Source organism: Homo sapiens, chromosome 1 (genome assembly GCF_000001405.40).
Source record: "Homo sapiens chromosome 1, GRCh38.p14 Primary Assembly".
NCBI classification, from domain to species: Eukaryota; Metazoa; Chordata; class Mammalia; order Primates; family Hominidae; genus Homo; species Homo sapiens.
Genome location: NC_000001.11, coordinates 109,955,118 through 109,975,374, shown reverse-complemented (window position 1 = coordinate 109,975,374; position 20,257 = coordinate 109,955,118). Strand labels below are relative to the sequence as shown.

Sequence of the window (20,257 nt, the reverse complement as noted above, 5' to 3'; positions counted from 1 at the left end):
AGCCTCCTGCGGAGCTGGGACTACAGGTGTGTGCCACCACATCCAGCTAATTTTTTATTTTTAGTAGAGATATGGTCTCACTATGTTGCCCAGGCTGGTCTTGAACTCCTGGGTTCAAGCAATCCTCCTGCCTCAGCCTCCCAAACTGTTGGGATTACAGGCATCAGCACCATGCCCGGCCTAAAATAATCTTTTAACCTACAAAAGTAAAACATACTCATTGTAAAAAAAATCTAAACAAACAGATGTACATGCAACAAAAGTGGAAAATTTTCTATCCCTCTACTGACTCCCACACTCCAGGTGTAGAGAGGGGGAACCTCACCTCCACATCATATTTTCATATGTGGATTTTAAAATTGTACATATGGTACTATCCATATTATTTGGCAAGCCCTCCTGTGATAGTTTCCTAATAAAATCAAGATAACAATGATACCCACCTTATTAGGATATTTATCAGGATTAAATTAGTTAATACATGTAAAGCTCTTAGAGCAGTATCTGGCATATAAAAAGCACCACATGAGTTTTAACTATTTTAATATACTTATTAATCATTTATTTCCCACTCTACTTCATAAACATCCCTCCACATTAGGACTACATACATTTAATACTTAGGAAAAACTTAAAAATAGTTTTTTTAAAAAAGTGGAACAAGAGAAATGAATAACTAACTTCTTGTCTATTCTTCCCACCACTTTGAGAGGGGCTGCCTGGTGGAAATTTCGCCCTTTGTCTGCTTTCCCATGTCCTAGCCGATGAGCCGGGATGGCCTTTATCTGAACAACCATGGGCCTCAGGTGGGCAGTCTCCTCAGCCAAATGCCATGCTTTGCTAGAGGCCTGGGTTACCTGACCTATATGTACTTTTCTGGAAGAAAAGGAAACAGAAATACCCTCAGCTCCCTGGAATCTACATAGTTGTGAAATGCACAGAGGTCTTGTCTTAGTTGACCAAGTTGGTAGATTTTGTTCCACTTTGGCTGTGGCTATGAAATAGAAGAAGAAAAAGACATCAAGTTGGCCGTGCAGCTATAGGAAACTGTAAACATTTGTTGCCTCAGTCACTGAAAATGTGTCAGCAGGAAAAACCCATTTTAACAATTATGATATGACAGCGAGATTATAAAAGTCAGTTATCACCGAGAATAACATGACTATCATCTGTATTTGAAATTCAGGAGCAAAACATAGTCATATTCAATTCACAGACCAACAAATGCTGCCAGGAAGTGTCTTTTATGGGATGTTTGCAGAATCCTTGTCATTTCTTAAGTTCCATCCTTTAAAAATAAAGCATTGGTACATGAACAGGATATCATTGTACCAAGACCAGAAAAAATCAGAAAACTACAGATCAATATCTCTCATGAACATAGACACAAAAGGATTTCTACACCATGCTCATGGGGTTTAGCTAGGGAATGCAAGCCTTGTTCCATATCTGAAAATGAAAAAAAAAAGCAATCAATGTAATCCCCATATTTGCCATTTAAAGAAAAAAGCCATTGCAATTGATGCATAAAAAGCATTTGACAAAATGACATCTATTTATGATAAAAATAAATAAGAGGCATACAGTTTGGACAAGAAGAAATAAAACCATCTCTATTCACATATGACATGATTGTGTATGTAGAAAAGCCTGAAGAATTCACACACACACACACACACACACACACACACACACACTGTATAACTAATAAGTGAATTTGACAAGGTTGCAGGATGTAAGGTCAACATATAAAAATCAATCATATTTCTATATACTAAAAACAAAAATTGAAAACCAAATTCAAAAAAACCAATGCCATTTCCAATAATTAAAAAATGAAATATTTAGATGTAAATATCCTAAAACATGTCCAGGACTTACATGCTGAAAACTAGAAAACATTGATGAAAGAAATCAAAGGAGATCTAAATAAGTGGAGAGATAAACCATGTTCAGGGATTGGAAAGCTCAATCGAGTATACATTCAATTCTCTGCAAATTGATAAATAAATTTAACTCAATTCTAATCAAAACCCTGGCAGATTTTTGGTAGGCATAGACAAGCTGATTCCAAAGTTTATACAGAAACAAAAAGGAGCTAGAATAGCTAGAAAAATTTTGAAAAAGAATAATAAAAGTGGATGAATCACACTACCTGATTTTAAGACTTACCACAAAGCTACAGTAATTGAAACATTGTGGTATTGGAAACAGAAGAGATACAAAGATTAATGAAACAGAATAAAGAATCTAGAAATAGGCCGGGCGCGGTGGCTCACGCCTGTAATTCCAGCATTTTGGGAAGCCGAGGCGGGTGGATCACAAGGTCAGGAGATCGAGACCATCGTGGCTAACATGGTGAAACCCCGTCTCTAGTAAAAATACAAAAAATTAGCTGGGCATGGTGGCGGGTGCCTGCAGTCCCAGCTACTTGGGAGGCTGAGGCAGGAGAATGGCGTGAACCTGGGAGTCGGAGCTTGCAGTGAGCCGAGATTGCGCCACTGCACTCCAGCCTGGGCGACAGAGCAAGACTCCGTCTCAAAAAAAAAAAAAAAATCTAGAAATAGACACAAACAAATGTTGCCAATTGATGTTTTACAAAGGTGCAAAGGCAATTCACCGGAGAAAGGATAATCTTTACAACAAATTGTGTTGGAACAGATGGATATCTGTATGCAGAAAAACCTCAACCTAAACCTCACACTATACAAAAATCAATTCAGAATGGATCACAGATTTAAAACATAAAACTATAAAACTTTCAGGAGAAAATGTTAATGACCAGGAATTAGGCATAAAGACCTAAGACATGACAAAAAAGCATGATCCATAAAATAAAAATATGGGTATATTGGACTTCATCAAAGTTAAAAAAAAACTGCTGTAAAATACATAATAAAGGGGGATGAAAAACAAGCTACAGACTATGAGAAAATATTTGCAAAACAGATTTTTAAAAGGACTTGAATACAGAATATATAAAGAATTCTCAAAACTTCGCACAAGAAATCAAACAACCCAATAAAAAAATGAGTAAAAGACGCTTTACCAAAGATGATATATAAAGCAAATAAGGATGTTCAACATCCTTAGCTATCAGGAATATGCAAATTAAACCCTTAATAAGATGCATGACACACATTAGAATGGTGACAATAAGAATATTGACAATACACAGTGCTGATGAGAAGGCTCTCCTACATTGGAACTCTCATACACTGCTGGTGGAAATGCAAAATGGTACAGCCACTCTGGAAAAGCTTGACAATTTTTTTTTATAAAAGGAAACATAAATTACCATGTGACCCAGCAATTGTACTATATAGGGCAACTATCTAGTTGCCTTAGAAAAATAAAAATTTGTGTCCACACAAAAACCTGTACAAGAATATTTATAGCAGCTCTATACATGATTGCCCAAAATGGATAATCCAAGTATTTTTAAACAAGTAAATGGATAAACAAACTGCAGTTCATCCACACAATAGATTAAAAACGAGTAAACTGTTGATACATGAAACAAGTTTGATGAATCTAAGGCATGCTGAGTGAAAGAGACCAGTCTTTAAAGGGTTACATACTGCATGGTTCCATTTATATGGCATTCTTCAGTAATGGAGAACAGATCAGTGGTTGGCAGTGGTTAGACACAGGGAAAAAGTGTAATTACAAAAAGACAGAATGAGGAAGTTTTGGGGGTGATGGAACTGTTCTGTGTCTTGATTATGGTGGTAGTTACACAAACCTATAAATATGTTAAAATTTTCAAGTCCACACACATCCATGCCAATTTAATTTTATGTTAAAATTTTAAAAATTAGATGACTTTTTAGAGCAGTTTTAGGTTCATAACAGAATTGAACAGGAGGTATGGGGATTTTTCATATATCCACTGCTCTCACACGTGCACAGCCTCCCCCACCATGAACATCCCTCACCGAGGTGGTATATTTGTTCCAATCAACGAACCTACATTAGCACATCATTATCACCCAAAGCCCATAGTTTGCATCAGGGTTCACTCTTGGTGTGAACATTCTACAGGTTTTCACAAATGTATAATGACACAGATCCACCATGACAGTATTGTACAGCATATTTTCACTGCCCTTAAAATCTGTGCTTTGCCAGTCCATTATTCCCAGCCCCTTGACTCCTGACAACCACTGATCTTTTTACTGTCTCCATAGTTTTGCCTTTTCCAGTATATTATATAGTTGGAATCAGATAGTAGGTGACTTTTTCAGATTGGCTTCTTTTATTTAGTAATATGTATATAAGTTTCCTTCATATCTTTTCATGGCTTGATATCTCATTTCTTTTTAGTACTGAATCATATTCCATTTTCTGAATGTACCACAATTTATCCATTCGCCTACTGAAGGACATCTTGGCATCCACGTTTTGGCAACTGTGAATAAAGGTGCTATAAACATCCATGTGCAGGCTTTTGTGTGGAAGTAACTTTTCAACTCCTTTGGGTAAATATCAAGGAGCCAGAATGCAGAATTATATAGTAAGAGTATGTTTACCTTTGCATCTGCTTCTGGTAGGAGCCTCAAGCTACTTCCATTCATGGCAAGAGGGGAAGGGGAGCTGGCATGTGCAGAGATCACATGATGAGAGAACAGAGCAAGGGTATTGGGAAAGGTGCCAGGTTCTTTTTAACAACCACCAATCTGTCTTCCAAAGTGTCTGTACAAATGTACATTCCTATCAGCAATGAATGAGCATTCCTCTTGCTCTACATCCTCAGCCACACCTGGTATTGTCTATTTTCTGGATTTTGGCCATTCTAATAGATGTATAGTGGTATCTCACTGTTGTCTTGGTTCGAATTTCCCTCGTTACATGTAATGTTGAGCATCTTTGTACATGCTTACTTGCCATCTGTATACCTTCTTTGGTAAAGTGACTGTACAGGTCTTTTGCCTATTTTTTAATCGGGTTGTTTGTTTTCTTATTGTTCAGTTTTAAGAGTTCTTTGTTTATTTTGAATATGTCTTTTGCAAATATTTTCCCCAGTATGTGGCTTATCTTCCCATTCTTTTAAAAAATTTTATTGTAGTAAAATATATATAACATAAAATTTATCATCTTACTCATTTTAAGTACACAGCTCAGTTGTATTAAATGCATTCATAATGTTGTGCTACCATCACCACCATCCATCTCCATAACTCTTTTCTTCTTGTGAAAACTGAAACTCTATGCCCATTAAACAATAACTCCTATTTCCCCTTTCCCCAGCCCTTTGCAACCACTAATCTACTTTCTGTCTCTGTGAGTTCGACCACTCTAAGTATCTCATATAAGTGTAATCACACAGTATTTATCACTTTAAGACTGGCTTATTTCACTTAGCATAATGTCTTCAAGGTTCATTTATGTTGTAGCATATGTCAGAATTTCCCTCCTTTTAAAAACTGAATAATATTCCATTCTACACGTTACTTATCCATTCGTCTGTTGATGGACACTTGAGTTGTTTTAGCCCATTTAGTGCTACTATAAAGGACTACCTGAGCTAGGTAATTTATAAAGAAAAGCAGTTCATTTGGCTCATGGTTCTGCAAGCTGCGCAAGAAGTATGCCATTGGCATCTGCATATGGTGTGGGCCGCAAGCTGCTTCCATTCATGGTAGAAGGGGAAGTGGAACTTGCGTGTGCAGAGATCACATGATGAGAGAACAGCAGCATGGGTGTGGGTGAAGGTGCCAGACTTTTTAACAATCTTTGCTCTAGTAGAGCAAAGCCATTCATGAGAGATCTACTGCCATGACTCAAACACTTCTCATTAGGCCCCACCTCCAACATGAGATTAAATTTCAGCCTGAGGTTTGGAGGGCCAAATATGCAAGCAATAGCATAAGCAAAAGCAATAATTGCTTCCATGTTTTAGATATTGTGACTAATGCTGCTATGAACATGGGTGTACAAATATCTCTTCAAGACCCTACTTTTAATTCTTTTGGGAATATATCCACAAGTGTAATTGCTGGATCAGATGGTAATTCTATTTTCAATTTTTTTGAGGAACTCCCATACTGTTTTCTACAGTGACTGTATCATTTTACATTCCTGTCTTCTCATTTTCTTGAGTTTCTTTCACAGAGCAGAAGTTTTCAATTTTAATGAAGTGTAGCTTATTAATATTTCTTGCTTTCAATGTTGTATCTATAAAGTCATTGCCATTCCCAAAGTTATCTGTATTTTCTCCTATGCTATCATCTAGGAGTTTTATAGTTTTGTGTTTATATAGTTTAGTGTAGTTTTACATCATTTAAGGCTGTAATCCATTTCAAGTTTTTTTTTTTGTTTTGTTTTTTTGTTTTTTTTTTTTTTTCTGAGACGGAGTCTTGCTCTGTCACCAGGCTGGAGTGCAGTGGTCCAATCTCGGCTCACCACAACCTCCACCTTCCAGGTTCCAGAGATTTTCCTGCCTCTGCCTCCCAAGTAGCTGGGGCTACAGGCGTGCGCACCATGCCCAGCTAAGTTTTGTATTTTTAGTAGAGACAGGGTTTCACCATGTTGGCCAGGCTGGTCTTGAACTCCTGACCTCATGATCTGCCCACCTCAGTCTCCCAAAGTGCTGTGATTACAAGTGTGAGCCACCGTGCCCGGCCATCATTTTGAGTTAATTTTCATAAGAGGTATAAAGTCTGTGTCTAGATTCATACGTTCACGTGTGGAAATCCGGTTGTTCTAGAACTATTTGTTGAAAAGACTGTCTTTATTGAATTGCCTTTGCTCCTTTGTCAAAAATCAGTTGACTATATTTGTGGCAGCCTATTTCTGGACACTATTCTGTTCCATTAATTGATTTGTTTATTCCTTCACCAGTAGCACATTGTCTTGACTACTGTAGCTTTATAGTAAATCTTGATATCAGGTAATGTTGGTCCTCCAACTTTGTTTTTCTCCTTCAACATTGGATTGGCTATGCTGGGTCTTTTGCCTTTCTATATCAACTTTAGAATCCGTTTATCAATATTCACAAAATAATTCGTTGGAATTTTGATTGGGATTGTGTTGAATCTACAGATTGAGTTGGGAATAACATAACTTGACAATATTGTCTCTTTCTATCTATGAACTTGGAATATCTCTCCACGTATTTAGTTCTTTGATTTCTTTCATTGGAGTTTGGTAGTTTTCCTCATATTTATCCTGTACATATTTTGTTAGATTTATATCTAAGTATTTCATTTTTAGAGATGCAAATGTAAATAGTATTGTGTTTTTAATTTCAAATTCTGTTTGTTCATTGCTGGTATATAGGAAAGTGATTGACTTTTATATATTAACATTGTATTCTGCAACCTTGCTATAATTACTTATTGTTCCAGGAGATTTTTGTTGATTCTTTCAGATTTTCTACATAGACAATTATGTCATCTGAAAACAAAGGCAGTTTTATTTCTTCCTTTGCAATCCGAATATCTTTTCTTTCCTTTTCTGGTCTTATTTCATTTGCTAGGACTTCCAGTACAATCTTGAAAAGGAATGGTTAGCGGGGACATTCTTGCCTTATTCTGATCTTATAGGAAGACTTTCAGTTTTTTACCCTTAAGTATGATGTTAGCTGCAGGGTTTTTGCAAATGTTCTTTATCAAGTTGAGGATTTCCCCTCTATTGCTAGTTTACTGACAGTTTTCATTGTGAATAGGTATTGGATTTTGTCAAATGCTTTTTCTGTATCTATTGATATGATTGTATGATTTTTTCTTTAGCCTGTTGATGAGACGCATCGCATTAATTGATTTTTTAATGTTGAATCAGCCTTGCATACCTGGGATATGACCTATTCAGTCATGGTGTATACTTTTTTTTTTTTTTAAGAGACATGATCTTGCTCTGTCACCCAGGCTGAAGTGTAGTGGCTTGATCATAGCTCACTACACCCTTGAACTCCTGGGCTCAAGCAATCCTTCTGCCTCAGCCTCCCAAGTAGCTGGGACTACAGGCATGTGACACCACACTCAGCTAATTTTTTATTTTTTGTAGAGACAGTGTCTCACTATGTTGCCCAGGCTGGTCTCAAACTCCTGGGCTCATGCAGTCCTCCTACTGGCCTCCCAAAGCACTGGGATTACACTACCATGTAATCCCATGAGCTACCATGCCTGGCCTGTATAATTCTTTTTGTACATTATTGGATTTCATTTGCTAGTATTCTGTTGAGGATTTTTGCATCTATGTTCATGAGAGATATTTGTCTGTAGTTTTCTTTTCTATAATGTTTTTGTCTGATTTTGGTATTAGAGTAATTCTGGCTTCATAGAATGAGTTAGAAAATATTCTCTCTGCTTCTATCTTTTGGGAGAGATTATAAAGAAATGGCATAATTTCTTCCTTAAATGTTTGGTAGAATTCACCAGTGAATCCATCTGAGTGTGGTACTTTTTGCTTTGGAAGGTTATTAATTATTGATTCAATTTTTTTCATAGATATAGGCCTATTTAGATTGTGTGTGTGAGTGAGAGTTTTGGCAGATTGTGTCTTTCAAGTAATTGGTTCATTTCATATAGGAGGTTATCAAATTTGTGGGCATACAGTCACTCATATATCTATTTATTATCCTTGTAATGTCCATGAGATTTGTAGTGATGCCCCCTCTTTCATTTCTAATATTAGTAATTTGTGTCTTCTCTCTTTTTTTCTAAATTAGCCTGGCTAGAGGCTCAGCAATTTTATAGGTCTTTTCAACCAGTTTTTTTGTTTCATTGAGTTTATCTATTGATTTCCTGTTTTGAATTTTGTTGATTTTGTCTCTAATTTTTTAATTTTAATTTTTATCTTTTGAGACGGAGTCTCGCTCTGTCCCCCAGGCTGGAGTGCAGTGGCGCCATCTCTGCTCACTGCAAGCTCCGCCTCCCGGGTTCACGCCATTCTCCTGCCTCAGCCTCTCGAGTAGCTGGGACTACAGGCGCCCGTCACCACGCCCGGCTAATTTTTTGTATTTTTAGTAGAGATGGGGTTTCACCGTGTTAGCCAGGATGGTCTCAATCTCCTCGGCCTCCCAAAGTGCTGGGATTACAGGCGTGAGCCACTGCTCCCGGCCTCTAATTTTTATTATTTCTTTTCTTTTGCTTACTTTGTCTATAATTTGGTCTTCTTTTTCTGGTTTCCCTAGGTAGAAGCTTAGATTATTTATTGTTTTCGTCCACTTGGGATGCTATAACAAAATACCAGGGACTGTGGCTTGAACAACAGACATTTATTTCTCACAGTTCTGGAGGCTGGGAAGTTTGAGATCACCCTGATAATTGGGTTCTGGTGAGCGTCCCTTTCGTGTCTTGCAGAGGGCTGCCTTCTTGCTGTGTCTTCACATGGTGGAGAAAGGAAGCTCTGGTGCTTCTTCCTCTTCTTATAAGGGCACTGAGCTCATCATGGGGGCTCCACCTTCATGACTTCATCTAAATCTAATTATTTTCCAAAGGTCCCACCTCCTAACACCATCACATTCAAGGTTAGAGCTTTAACATATGAATTTCAGGGGGACACAAACATTCAGTACATAACAATTATTAATTTTAAATCTTTGTTCTTTTCTAATGCATGCATTCAATGCTATAACTTTCCCTCTAAGTGCTGCTTTCACTGCATCCCACAAATTTTGATAAGTTGTATTTTCATTTTCATTTACTTCAAAATATTTTTAAATGTCTCTTGAGATTTCTTTTTTCCATCATGTGTTGTGTAGAAGTGTTTTATGTCCCAAGTATTTTAGGGTTTTTCAGCTATCTTTCTGTGATACATTTCTAGTTTAGTTCCATTGACATCTGAGGGCAGACATGGCGTGATTTCTATTCATTTAAATTTGTTAAGGTGTGTTTTATGGCCCAGAATGTGATCATCTTGGTAGATGTTCTGTGTGAGCTTCAGAAGAATGTGTTTTCTGCTGTTGTTGGATGAAGTCATCTATAGATGTTAATTATATCCACCTGATTAATGGTGCTATTGAGTTCAATTATGTCCTTACTGATTTTCTGCCTGCTGGATTTGTCCATTTCTGATGGAGGAGTGTTGAAGTCTCCAACTATAATAGTGGTTTCTTCTATTTATCCTTGCGATTCTATCCATTTTTGCCTCACATATTTTGATGCTCTGTTTTTAGGTGCACACACATTAAGAATTGTCCTGTCTTCTTAGAGAATTAACCCTTTTATCATTGTCTAATGCCTCTCTTTACCTTTGATAACTTTCCTTGCTCGGAAGTCTGCTGCCTAAAATTAATATAGTTTCTCACACTCTCTTTTGATTAGAACTAGCATAGTATGGCTTTCTCCATTAATTTACTTTTAATCTGTGTGTTTATATTAAAAGTGGGTTTCTTGTATACAACATATAGTTGGATTTTTTTTAATCTACTCTGACAATCTGTCTTTTCATTGGTATATTAGACAACTGATGTTTAAAATTATTATTGATACATTTGGATTAATATCTACCATAGTTATTACTATTTTCTATTCATTATTCTTTGTTCCTATTTTTGTCTTCTATTCTTTTTCTGCCTTTTGTGGCTTTAATTTAGCATTTTGTATTATTCCATTTTCTCTCCTTTCTTAGCATATTAATTAATATATACTTTTTAAAAAATGTTTTTTAGAGGTTGCCCTAGAATTTGCAATATATGTTTACAATTAATCCAAGTCTACTTTCAAATAACACTATAACACTTCAGGGATGGTGAAAGTACCTTATAATAACAAAATATTCCTAATTCCTCCCTCTCATCCTTTTAATCACTCATTCATTTTACTTAATACATAAACATATATAAGCATGTATAGACACACAAAGTATCCATAATATAATACTTTGTTGCTATAATTATTTTGAGCAAACTATTATGTTAGATCAATTAAGTATAAGAAAAATAAGTTCTATTTTACCTTCACTTATTTCTTCTCTGATGCTCTTCTTTATATAGAACAGAGTTTCTGACCTATATCATTTTCCTTGTCTCTGAAAAAACTGTCTTAGCATTTCTTTCAAGGCAGGCAACAAATTCTCTCAGTTTTTGTTTGTCTGAGTAATTATTTCTCTTCCACTTTTGAAGGACAATTTCACAGAATTTTAGGTTGGTGCTTTTTTTTTCTGTCTTAACACTTTATTTCACTCTCCTCTCTCTTGCTTGCATGGTTTCTGAGAAGTCTAATGTAGTTTTATCCTTTCCTCCTCTATAGGTAATGGGATTTTTCCCACTTCCTGACTTCTCCATCTTTGATTTTCTGTGGTTTGAATATAATATGACTAGGTGTAGGGCTTTGTTGTTGTTTTTGGCATTTATTCTGCTTTGCGTTCTCTGAGCTTCCTGGATCTGAGGTTTGGTTAACTGCCATTAATTTGGAGAAATTCTCAGTCATTATTGCTTCAAGTATTTCTTCTGTTCCTTTCTCTTTTTCTCCTCCTTTTGATATTTCCATTATGCCTATTTTCCACCTTTTGTAGTTGTCCCACAGTTCTTGAAATTCTCTTCCTTTTTTTTTTTCAGTCTCTTTTCTCTTTGGAAGTTTCTATTGCCATATCCTCAATCTGAGAGATTCCTCAGCCACGTCTAGTGTGCTAATGAGCCCATCAAAGGCATTCTTCCTTTTTGTTGCAGTGTTTTTTTATCTTTAGCATTATTAAAATTCTTTCTTAGAATCTCCATCCCTCTGCTTACCCATTTGTTCTTGTATGTCGTCTACTATTTCCATTACAGGCCTTAATATATTAATCATAGTTGTTTTAAAATCCTGGTCTGATAATTCCAACATCCCTGCTATACCTGAGCTTGGTTATAATGCTTGCTCTGTCTTTTTAAACTATGTTTTTTGACTTTCAGTATGTCTTACACTTTTTTTTGTTGCACACCAGATACAATGTACTGGGTAAAAGGAACTCTGGCAAACAGTCCTTAGTGGTGTGGAGTTAAGACGTAGGGAGAGGATAAGCATTCTATATAATGAGGTCTCAGTTTTTTAGTAAGCCTGTGCCCCTGGGCTGTAAACTTCACAGTGCTTCTCAATATCCACCTCAACTTGCAATGTGGGACACGATGGCTGCAGTGGGCTGGAGTTGGGTATTTCTCTTCCCCCCAGTTGGTTTTAGGCGCTGATAAAACCCCATTAGGTTAGGCTCTGGTAAAATCGTTTCCCTTGAAGGCAGACCTTGTCCAGAAGAACAGAATGCTCTGGCATATTTCAAAATGGTTACTTTTCCCTAGAAGTATAAAGGGATTTTTCTCTAGTACTCTCTGTGAGAACCTGGTAGAGCTCATGGAGCTAAACCTCACAAAAAACTTGTGAGGCCTCCCTCTGACTGGGACCCCCTGGAGTTTTTATTTCTCAGACTTGTCCACAATGGAGCCTCTAGCAATTTATCAATTACAGTTTAAGTTGTTCTACCCTAATACTGGTTCCCACAGAAGTTTCTGCTCATGGGTTTCTGCCTTGGTTAAGTTGTAATTCTCTGTATCTGTCTCTCTAATTTTAGAGGCAGTGATTTGTCCCGTGACCTCACTTCTCTGAAGGATCTAAGAAGAGCTGTTGATTTTTCAGTTGTTCTTAAAATTTTTTAAATAAAAGAATGAGGAGTTATAAATGAGGAACAGAGTATAAGGAATAATAAAATTTTTCCAAATGTTAGCAAGTTATCTCCACATGGTTATCATCAACGCATCAAATTCAATATATTCAGAATCCCTTTAATTGACTTTGCCTCTTAGGTTCTGGATTTTCAGTCTGGTGCCACCTTTCTGTTGGTCATTCATGTTTGAAACTTTGGGTCATCTTTGACCATTCTCTCTATCTAAAGATTTCTCAATTACCATGTCATGTGTGCTATGCAATTGTAACTTAGTTGTACATCCGTTTTCCTGTCTTTTTCCCCCTGCCCTCCCCTAGTCCATCACCACTTGTCAGGACTTTTGAAATTGCTTCCTAATACTTCCCTGTCTTAAGAGTCAACTTTGGTGGCAGATCAACCTGAGATTAAATCCTAGCTCTGCCACGTATAGCTCTTTGATCTTTGGTATAAAATACTTAACCTCTTTGAACCTTGGGCAGTGCTATAGTTTCAGTATTGGTCCCCTCCAAAACTCGTGTTGAAATTTAACCCCCACTGTGGCAGTATTGAGAGGTAGGGCCTTTAAGAGGTGATTGGATCTTGAAGGCAGAACTGTCAGGTGTGTGGTGGGGCCTGCAAGTAGTTGCCTGCAGCTCCTCTGCCCTCTTCATTTCACCTACTTTTTTTTTTTTTCGGTGGGGTCTTACTCTGTCGCCCAGGCTGGAGTGCAGTGGCGTGATCTTGGCTCACTGCAACCTCCACCTCTGGGTTCAAGCGATTCTCCTGTCTCAGCCTCCCGAGTGGCTGGGATTACAGGAGGCTGCCACTATGCCTAGCTGATTTTTGTATTTTTAGTAGAGATGGGGTTTCATCATGTTGGCCAGGCTGGTCTCAAACTCCTGACCTCCGGTGATCCACCTGCCTTGGCCTCCCAAAGTGCTGGGATTACAGGTGTGAGCCACCGTGCCTGGCCATTTCACCGACTTTGTGAACTTTTCTTCTCCATTTCCCCCCATCTGTTTGCCAGAGGGGTGGGACTGGAAACAGAACAGCTGTGGCTGCTTTGTCTCTCCCCTCCGTGGTGACTTATGGCCTGAGTGGTGACTTACAGGAACCTGGCCACCTAGGTGCTATGCGCCCTCTTAACCTTTGAACTGGAACTGCTGGCTCACACAAGGTTTTGAACAGCTGCAGCAAAAATCCTACAGAAAAGCTGGATTCCTTTGCCTTATGTGGAAACAGCAAGGCCCTGCCAGGTGCTCACCACTGGTCCTGGCAGAAGTGGCTGCTGCTGAGAGTGACCTTCCAAATCCTTGGTGGAACTCAGCACTACAGGCTCTTAAATAAAAACCCTTTAGACACAGAAAAAAGAAAAAAAAAAAACAAAAAAAACTCTCAAACATTTGATGTGAACAGTGCCCTCATTTGTGTATTAATTCATTCATGGATTAATGGATTAAATGGTTAATTAATTAGTTAATTAGCTTGCTCAGCCTCTCACCATGGGGTGCCCCGAACTACCTGGGGACTCCCTACCAGCAAGAAGACTCGCCAGATGCAGCCCCTCAGCCTGGGACTTCTTAGCCTCCATCACTGTAAGAAATAAACTTCTTTAGAAGTTAGTCAGTTTCAGGTATTCTGTTATAAGCAATAGCAAACAGACCAATATAGACATCACCTATAAAACTGAGGTAATAATACTCAATTTACAGGATGATTGTGAGGGTTGGAATACATTATGGGCCAGACACTGAGTCTTAAATGCATTAATTATTACTTTCATTAAATGAGAAAATGTATGCAAAGAGTTTGGCATGGTGCTGGGTACATAGTAACTACTCAATCATTGCTGGCTGCTTTATATTGTTATTCTTCAACCCAGTCCAATTTAGGAACTGCTGGCATATTAACTTGCCTAATAAGCATTTTTTATTATGTTTATCACTTGCTCAAAATCTTCTTTGGCTCCCTTTTGCCTGTTTCAGTAAGTCCAAACTCCTTGCCACGCATTCAAAGCTCTACTTATCAGTTCCCTCCTACCTTTCAGATTTTATCACCTGAATTTGACTATTCAGTGTATCCCATACATACTCCTGGTTTTCCCTCCTTTTTAGCTTTGTTCAAACTCTTCTCTCTCCCCAGAATGCCCTTCTCCTCCCATTTTGCTCAGTAAATATTTGCTGAGTAAATAGATGGTGTCCTTTGGAAAAGCTCTCTAAGGGAAGCCAGTTCTTATTCATGCTATATGTCCCCCCTGTGGTGGGAACACACAGGGCAGATTATGTTTATTACCAGCAGGACTTTTCGTAGGGGAGGCATATATGCAAACTGAGAGGTTTTAAAGAAGTCACCCCTGCTCTACAACCCCTCCACCCCTCCCGACTACAGATGCTACATAATACTCACGCCAAGAGGTGATATTGCTAAATTCCTCTTGTTTAATTAGCCTCTCAATTCAGGGCATACTTATCGGATACCTACAAAGCGCTCTGCAACTTGCCTGAAACTGTGTGGGTCAGAGTACATTTAAGACCATCCAGCTGGAAGTGAGAAGACTTGAAAAACATTGGCAAACAATGCATGTGAATTCAGAGTTGGTTTCTAAATTTTGTAATGCTGAAGACAAGTCTTTGACTAGGATGAGCCTGTGCACTAGAGCAAAGGTCAAAAGAGGTTACAGCCAGTCGAAACTTTGAAAGGGCCCTTCCTGGAGTGCATCTCCTTGTCCCGCATGCTTTAAGAATGTATGGTATGCTAAAACAAACATCTGATGTAGGCTGGTGAAATGCAAACCAGTATTCTGTATTCATGTGATAAGCCAGGCCCAGGGCAGTCTCCTAAAAGGCAGCTTTCTTAAAATCACGGGTAACTTTCTGCTTCTAAACATATGGGTGCAGGGAGAGATTTTTTTCCCCCAAGGACCAGCTCCCACACCCAATGTAGTTCACTGGTTCAGCACAAGCTCAGTTGTTTAAGATGCTAAGACATCTTTAACAACAGGAGCAGTAAGCACAGGGAGATGACAAACAGACATTTCTGAGTTTACTCAGTGCCTTAGCCCAGCTTAACTCACTGTCTAGGCTCTTGGCAGGTCTCTAACCTGGATTTTATTTCCAGAATATTCTCAGCTCCCAGATTATTCAGAATAAGATAATAAAAGTTAAAATTGGAGCACATGCTTTGAAATCAAATGAGTTTGGGTTTGAACCCAGCTCAACCACTTACTAGCTCTGTGACCTTGAAACTCAAAAATGTTTTCTGAGGTTTGGTTTCCTCCTTTTGACAATTGGGGTGATACCACTGACGTTAGGATTTATTGTGAGGATTAATGAAATGATGTGTTTGGAGTGTAGGCTCAGTATTTGATGGTTAGTATCACCATGACAATGACTAGAGGTCCCCCTCACTCCGTTCCACACCCAAACTATCTCCTCCAAAGCTACCCAAATTCTAATTTTTTTTTTTTTTTTTGACAGAGTCTCCTGTTGCCTAGGCTGGTGTGCAGTGGCACCATCTCGGCTCACTGCAACCTTTGCCTCCCAGGTACAAGCGATTCTCCTGCCTTAGCCTCCCGAGTAGCTGGGACTACCACCACGCCCTGCTAATTTTTTTTGTATTTTTAGTAGAGACGGAGTCTCACCATGTTGGCTAGGGTGGTCTCCAACTCCTGACCTCAAGTGATCCACCTGCCTCAGTCTCCCAAAGTGCTGGGATTACAGGCATGAGCCACCGCACACAACCCTAAATTCTAAATTTAACGGCTCTCTTTGCTCTGTATTCCTCCTACACCTCTTAATAACGATAAGTGTAAATAGTAATAATAGCCAAGCACAGCTATAGCCTACTACATGCCCATGCCTGTGGTGGACACCTCCAAACATTATCTCCAATCCTATTCCCAGTTTACAGTGCAGGAAACTGAAGCTCAGATAAGATAAGTGACTTGCCCAAAGTAAGTGGAAGAGCTGGAATTAGAACTCAGGCCTTCTCTCTCCAAAGCATATGGGCTTTCTACTTAACCACATTTTCTCCTTTGGAAAGAGAAGTCTGTTTTTCTGGATGCAAAGACCAGATACTCTAGCTTCCCCTTAACAACTTTCAGAGCTTTTCTAATTGCTTGCCTCTGTAACTGTAATTCATTCATTTATTCACCCCACAAATGTTTATAGTGTATATCAGGTGCTAGGGGTATAAAAATGATTAAGGCAGTCATCTTCAGAGTTCACACTTTGATGGGGAAGACAGACACATAAATGGGCAAGTGAGGAAGTCAGTGATTAGGTAAAAGGGCACAGTGGGACCCCAGAGTCCAGGTGGGGTTGGAGGAAGAAATGATGACATCAGAAGAAGCTTTCAAAGGACTTGGGTTAATTCATTGACCTACTCTTTATTTCATTCATTTCAGAAATGTGTTTTAAGCAACTATTCTGTTTCAGGCTCTAGGCTAAGCCCTGGAATTAAATGTAGGCATGGCTTGCTTCCGTCTGGCCAGGAGGGATGGACTATAAATAATTAAATGACATTAAAATTGTCTTGGGGTTATGCCAGAAGGATGTACAAGTTAAATCAATGGGGGGGGGAGGGGGTTGGGTGCACAAATAAATGGTTAATTCTCTAGGGCAAGTGTTGTTTCGAAGGTCCAATTTCTTTCAAACATGTTTTTTCTTTTTCCTATTCATTCCTGTCTTACTGTTTGTTTTTGTTTTTGTTTTTGTTTTTTTGCATTTTAAATACCTTTGAGGCTATCCCACAGACCATGCCAAGTAAAAATAGCACATCTAAAACTACATTTATATTTTACAACATTCTCCAGGGAAAGAAGCTTTAATTCAAACAACAATACATCGGGACTGGGCGATGTCTCCACAACTAGCAACATCTTGGTGAAATGAAGGAGATGAAACTTTGGCCATAGTATTACAAAATGAAATATTAATTATGTTTTAACTCTGTTATTTGACCACTATTGTCTTCTATAGAGTGGATAATAGTGCAGGACAGAGTCCAGCTCTACAATTTTGTGACTTTCCTCCCATAAATCATTTCTGAGACCTAGTAAACTTCAGACCCATTAGGTGAAAGCATGTTCAATAAGAACTCTTCAAAAATAAGTATATTTAATATGTGATAAAGGTGGCCTTTTACATCAGGGACAATGTGTAGCCTCTTGGAAAAAATAAAATTATATCTATAATATATGCTTTTATAGCAAAATAAAGTCCAGATGGATCAGACATATTTAAATTTTGACAAATGAAATTCCAGAAGCACAAGAAGAAAATATAAAAGTTTTTTTGGTTTTGTTTGCTTGTTTGTTTTTTCATAATCTCAGGGGCAGAAAAGGCTGAAGCCATAACATAAAGAATTGATAAATTCAGTCAGATAAAAATCAAATATTTCTGCATGGTCAAAAAGAATCACATAAATGATTAAAGTCAAATAACAAACTTGGGGGGGTGAGTGAGGATATCTAAAAATTATAATACAGCAAAACAATAATTATACATATTATTATAAGTATATATTATTATATTTGTATCTATATCTATAACTATTATTCTCTCCAGAATTGCTCACATCTACCTGCCTCTCCAGGGCCTCAGTGGCTTGCTCCATAGGGTGCCCTAAACACTGCCCTCTCTGCCTTCTTCCCAGCAACACTGCCTGTCTCATCTCCCCCCAGGATGAAGGCTGGGCAAGGGCCACAGTTGCACAGATACCCAAATCTGGAAGATATGATGCTCTCCTCCTTTGGTCTCAGGTAGGACATAGGACCTGGCTTTCCCACCATCTGTGCAGGTGAGGCAACCCAGAAGTGCAGGATAGTTAATGCCCTGTGGCAAAAAAGGATCTATGAGAGGCTGCAGATAGGAGGACAGATAAAATCCTCTTGTTCCCATTCCCACCATCCTTCACTTCTGACAACTGGGCAACTTAACTGAGCAACTGTCTGTATCCTCCTGAAGCTATGGTCAGCCTGATAATGCACCATGTTGTATTTGCTTTCTCTCCTTTTTGTCCTCCCTTCCATTTTTACCTTCGTGCATGCTGGTCTGGGCTTGCACTCCCTCAGTAAAACATTACCATGTGAGCTTTGCTTCAGGTTCTGTTTCATAGGGAATCTGAGCCAAGACCATATATAAAGAACTATTATAAAACAATGTGAAAAAGACCAACAACCCAATAGAAAAGCAGGCAGATCTAAATAGTTTACAAAAAAGCAACTATAAAAGCAAATAATAATGTAAATGACTCTTAAAAAACGTGAAGAGATGTTCAATCTCGCTCACAACGTGAAACACAAAATAAAATTATAGTGATATTTACTTTTTTACCTATCAAATTGAATATTTTGTAACATGCTGTGTCAGCAAGGGATGGAAAAATAGACACTCTCATTGCTGGTGGAAATATACATTGCTATAACTTCTACGGAGGATAATTTAACAATATCTTTAAAAATAGAAAAAAAAATACACATACTTTTTAGTCCAGCAATTTTATGCTCATTTTTGTTTGTAAAAAGATTGGAGATAATCTAGTGACCATTGACTAGAGACTGGGTCTGCAAATTATGGTACAGCCATAAATGGACACTTTTTAAAAAGAAAGAGGGTTTTTTAAAATGGACTGATTTGTAAAGACCTGCAATTTATATTAAGTAAAAATATGTCTAGAAATATACATAGTAAACTGGTAACAGTGGTTGCTTCTAAGGTTGGGCACTTACTTAAAATCTTTTGTACCTTTGGAATTTTGTACCATGTGTATTATCTATTTTTTCCTAATCAACTTTATAGAGGAATAATTTATGTATAGTTAAACCACATCCATTTAAAATTTACAATGCAATGACTTTTGAAAATTATATACTTGTGAGGCCGGGCGCAGTGGCTCACGCCTATAATCCCAGCACTTTAGGAGGCTGAGGTGGGCGGATCTCGAGGTCAGGAGATTGAGACCACCCTGGCCAACATGGTGAAACTCCGACTCTACTAAAAATACAAAAATTAGCCAGGCACGGTGGCGTGTGCCTGTAATCCCAGCTACTCAGGAGGCTGAGGCAGGAGAATCACTTGAACCAGGGAGCTGGAGGTTGCAGTGAGCCGAGATCGCACCACAGCAGTCCAACCTGGCGACAGAGTGAGACTCTGTCTCAAAAAAAAGAAAGAAAGAAAGAAAGAAAGAAAGAAAATTATACACTTGTAAAACCAGCTCCACAATCAAGACACAGAACATGAACATTTCACCAAAAGATGCCTCATGCCCTTTGCCATCCAGCTGTCTCTCTTCCCTGGCCCCAGGTAACCACTGATCTGCTTTCTGTCATTAGAGATTAGTTTGCATTTTACATCAATGGAATCACACAGCATATACTCTTTTGTATCTGACTTCTGCACTCTGCATAATGATTTCGAGATTCATTAGTGTCGTTATGTGTATCAGTAGTTCATTCCTGAATAGCATTCTGTTGAATGGATATACCACATTTTGTTTATCCAGTCAACTGTTGATGAACGTTTGGATTGTTTACAGATTTGGACTACATGAATAAAGCTGTTACGATCATTTTTGTTTGCTTGTTCTTGAGAGACAGTCTCGCTTTGTCACCCAGGCTGGAGTGCAGTGGCGCAATCTCAGCTCACTGCAACCTCCACCTCCCGGGTTCAAGCAATTCTCCTGCCTCAGCCTCCCGAGT

General features: G+C 38.3%; 2 annotated features.

The window, feature by feature from the left end:
* Positions 14,415-14,984: an enhancer, noted in NCBI's record as "OCT4-NANOG-H3K27ac-H3K4me1 hESC enhancer chr1:110503013-110503582 (GRCh37/hg19 assembly coordinates)". NCBI's record gives its function as "activates a minimal SCP1, AML or CMV promoter by ChIP-STARR-seq in primed H9 embryonic stem cells {active_cell/tissue: H9 hESC(primed)}" and the evidence as "EXISTENCE:reporter gene assay evidence [ECO:0000049][PMID:30033119]".
* Positions 14,985-15,556: an enhancer, noted in NCBI's record as "OCT4-NANOG-H3K27ac-H3K4me1 hESC enhancer chr1:110502441-110503012 (GRCh37/hg19 assembly coordinates)". NCBI's record gives its function as "activates a minimal SCP1, AML or CMV promoter by ChIP-STARR-seq in naive H9 embryonic stem cells {active_cell/tissue: H9 hESC(naive)}" and the evidence as "EXISTENCE:reporter gene assay evidence [ECO:0000049][PMID:30033119]".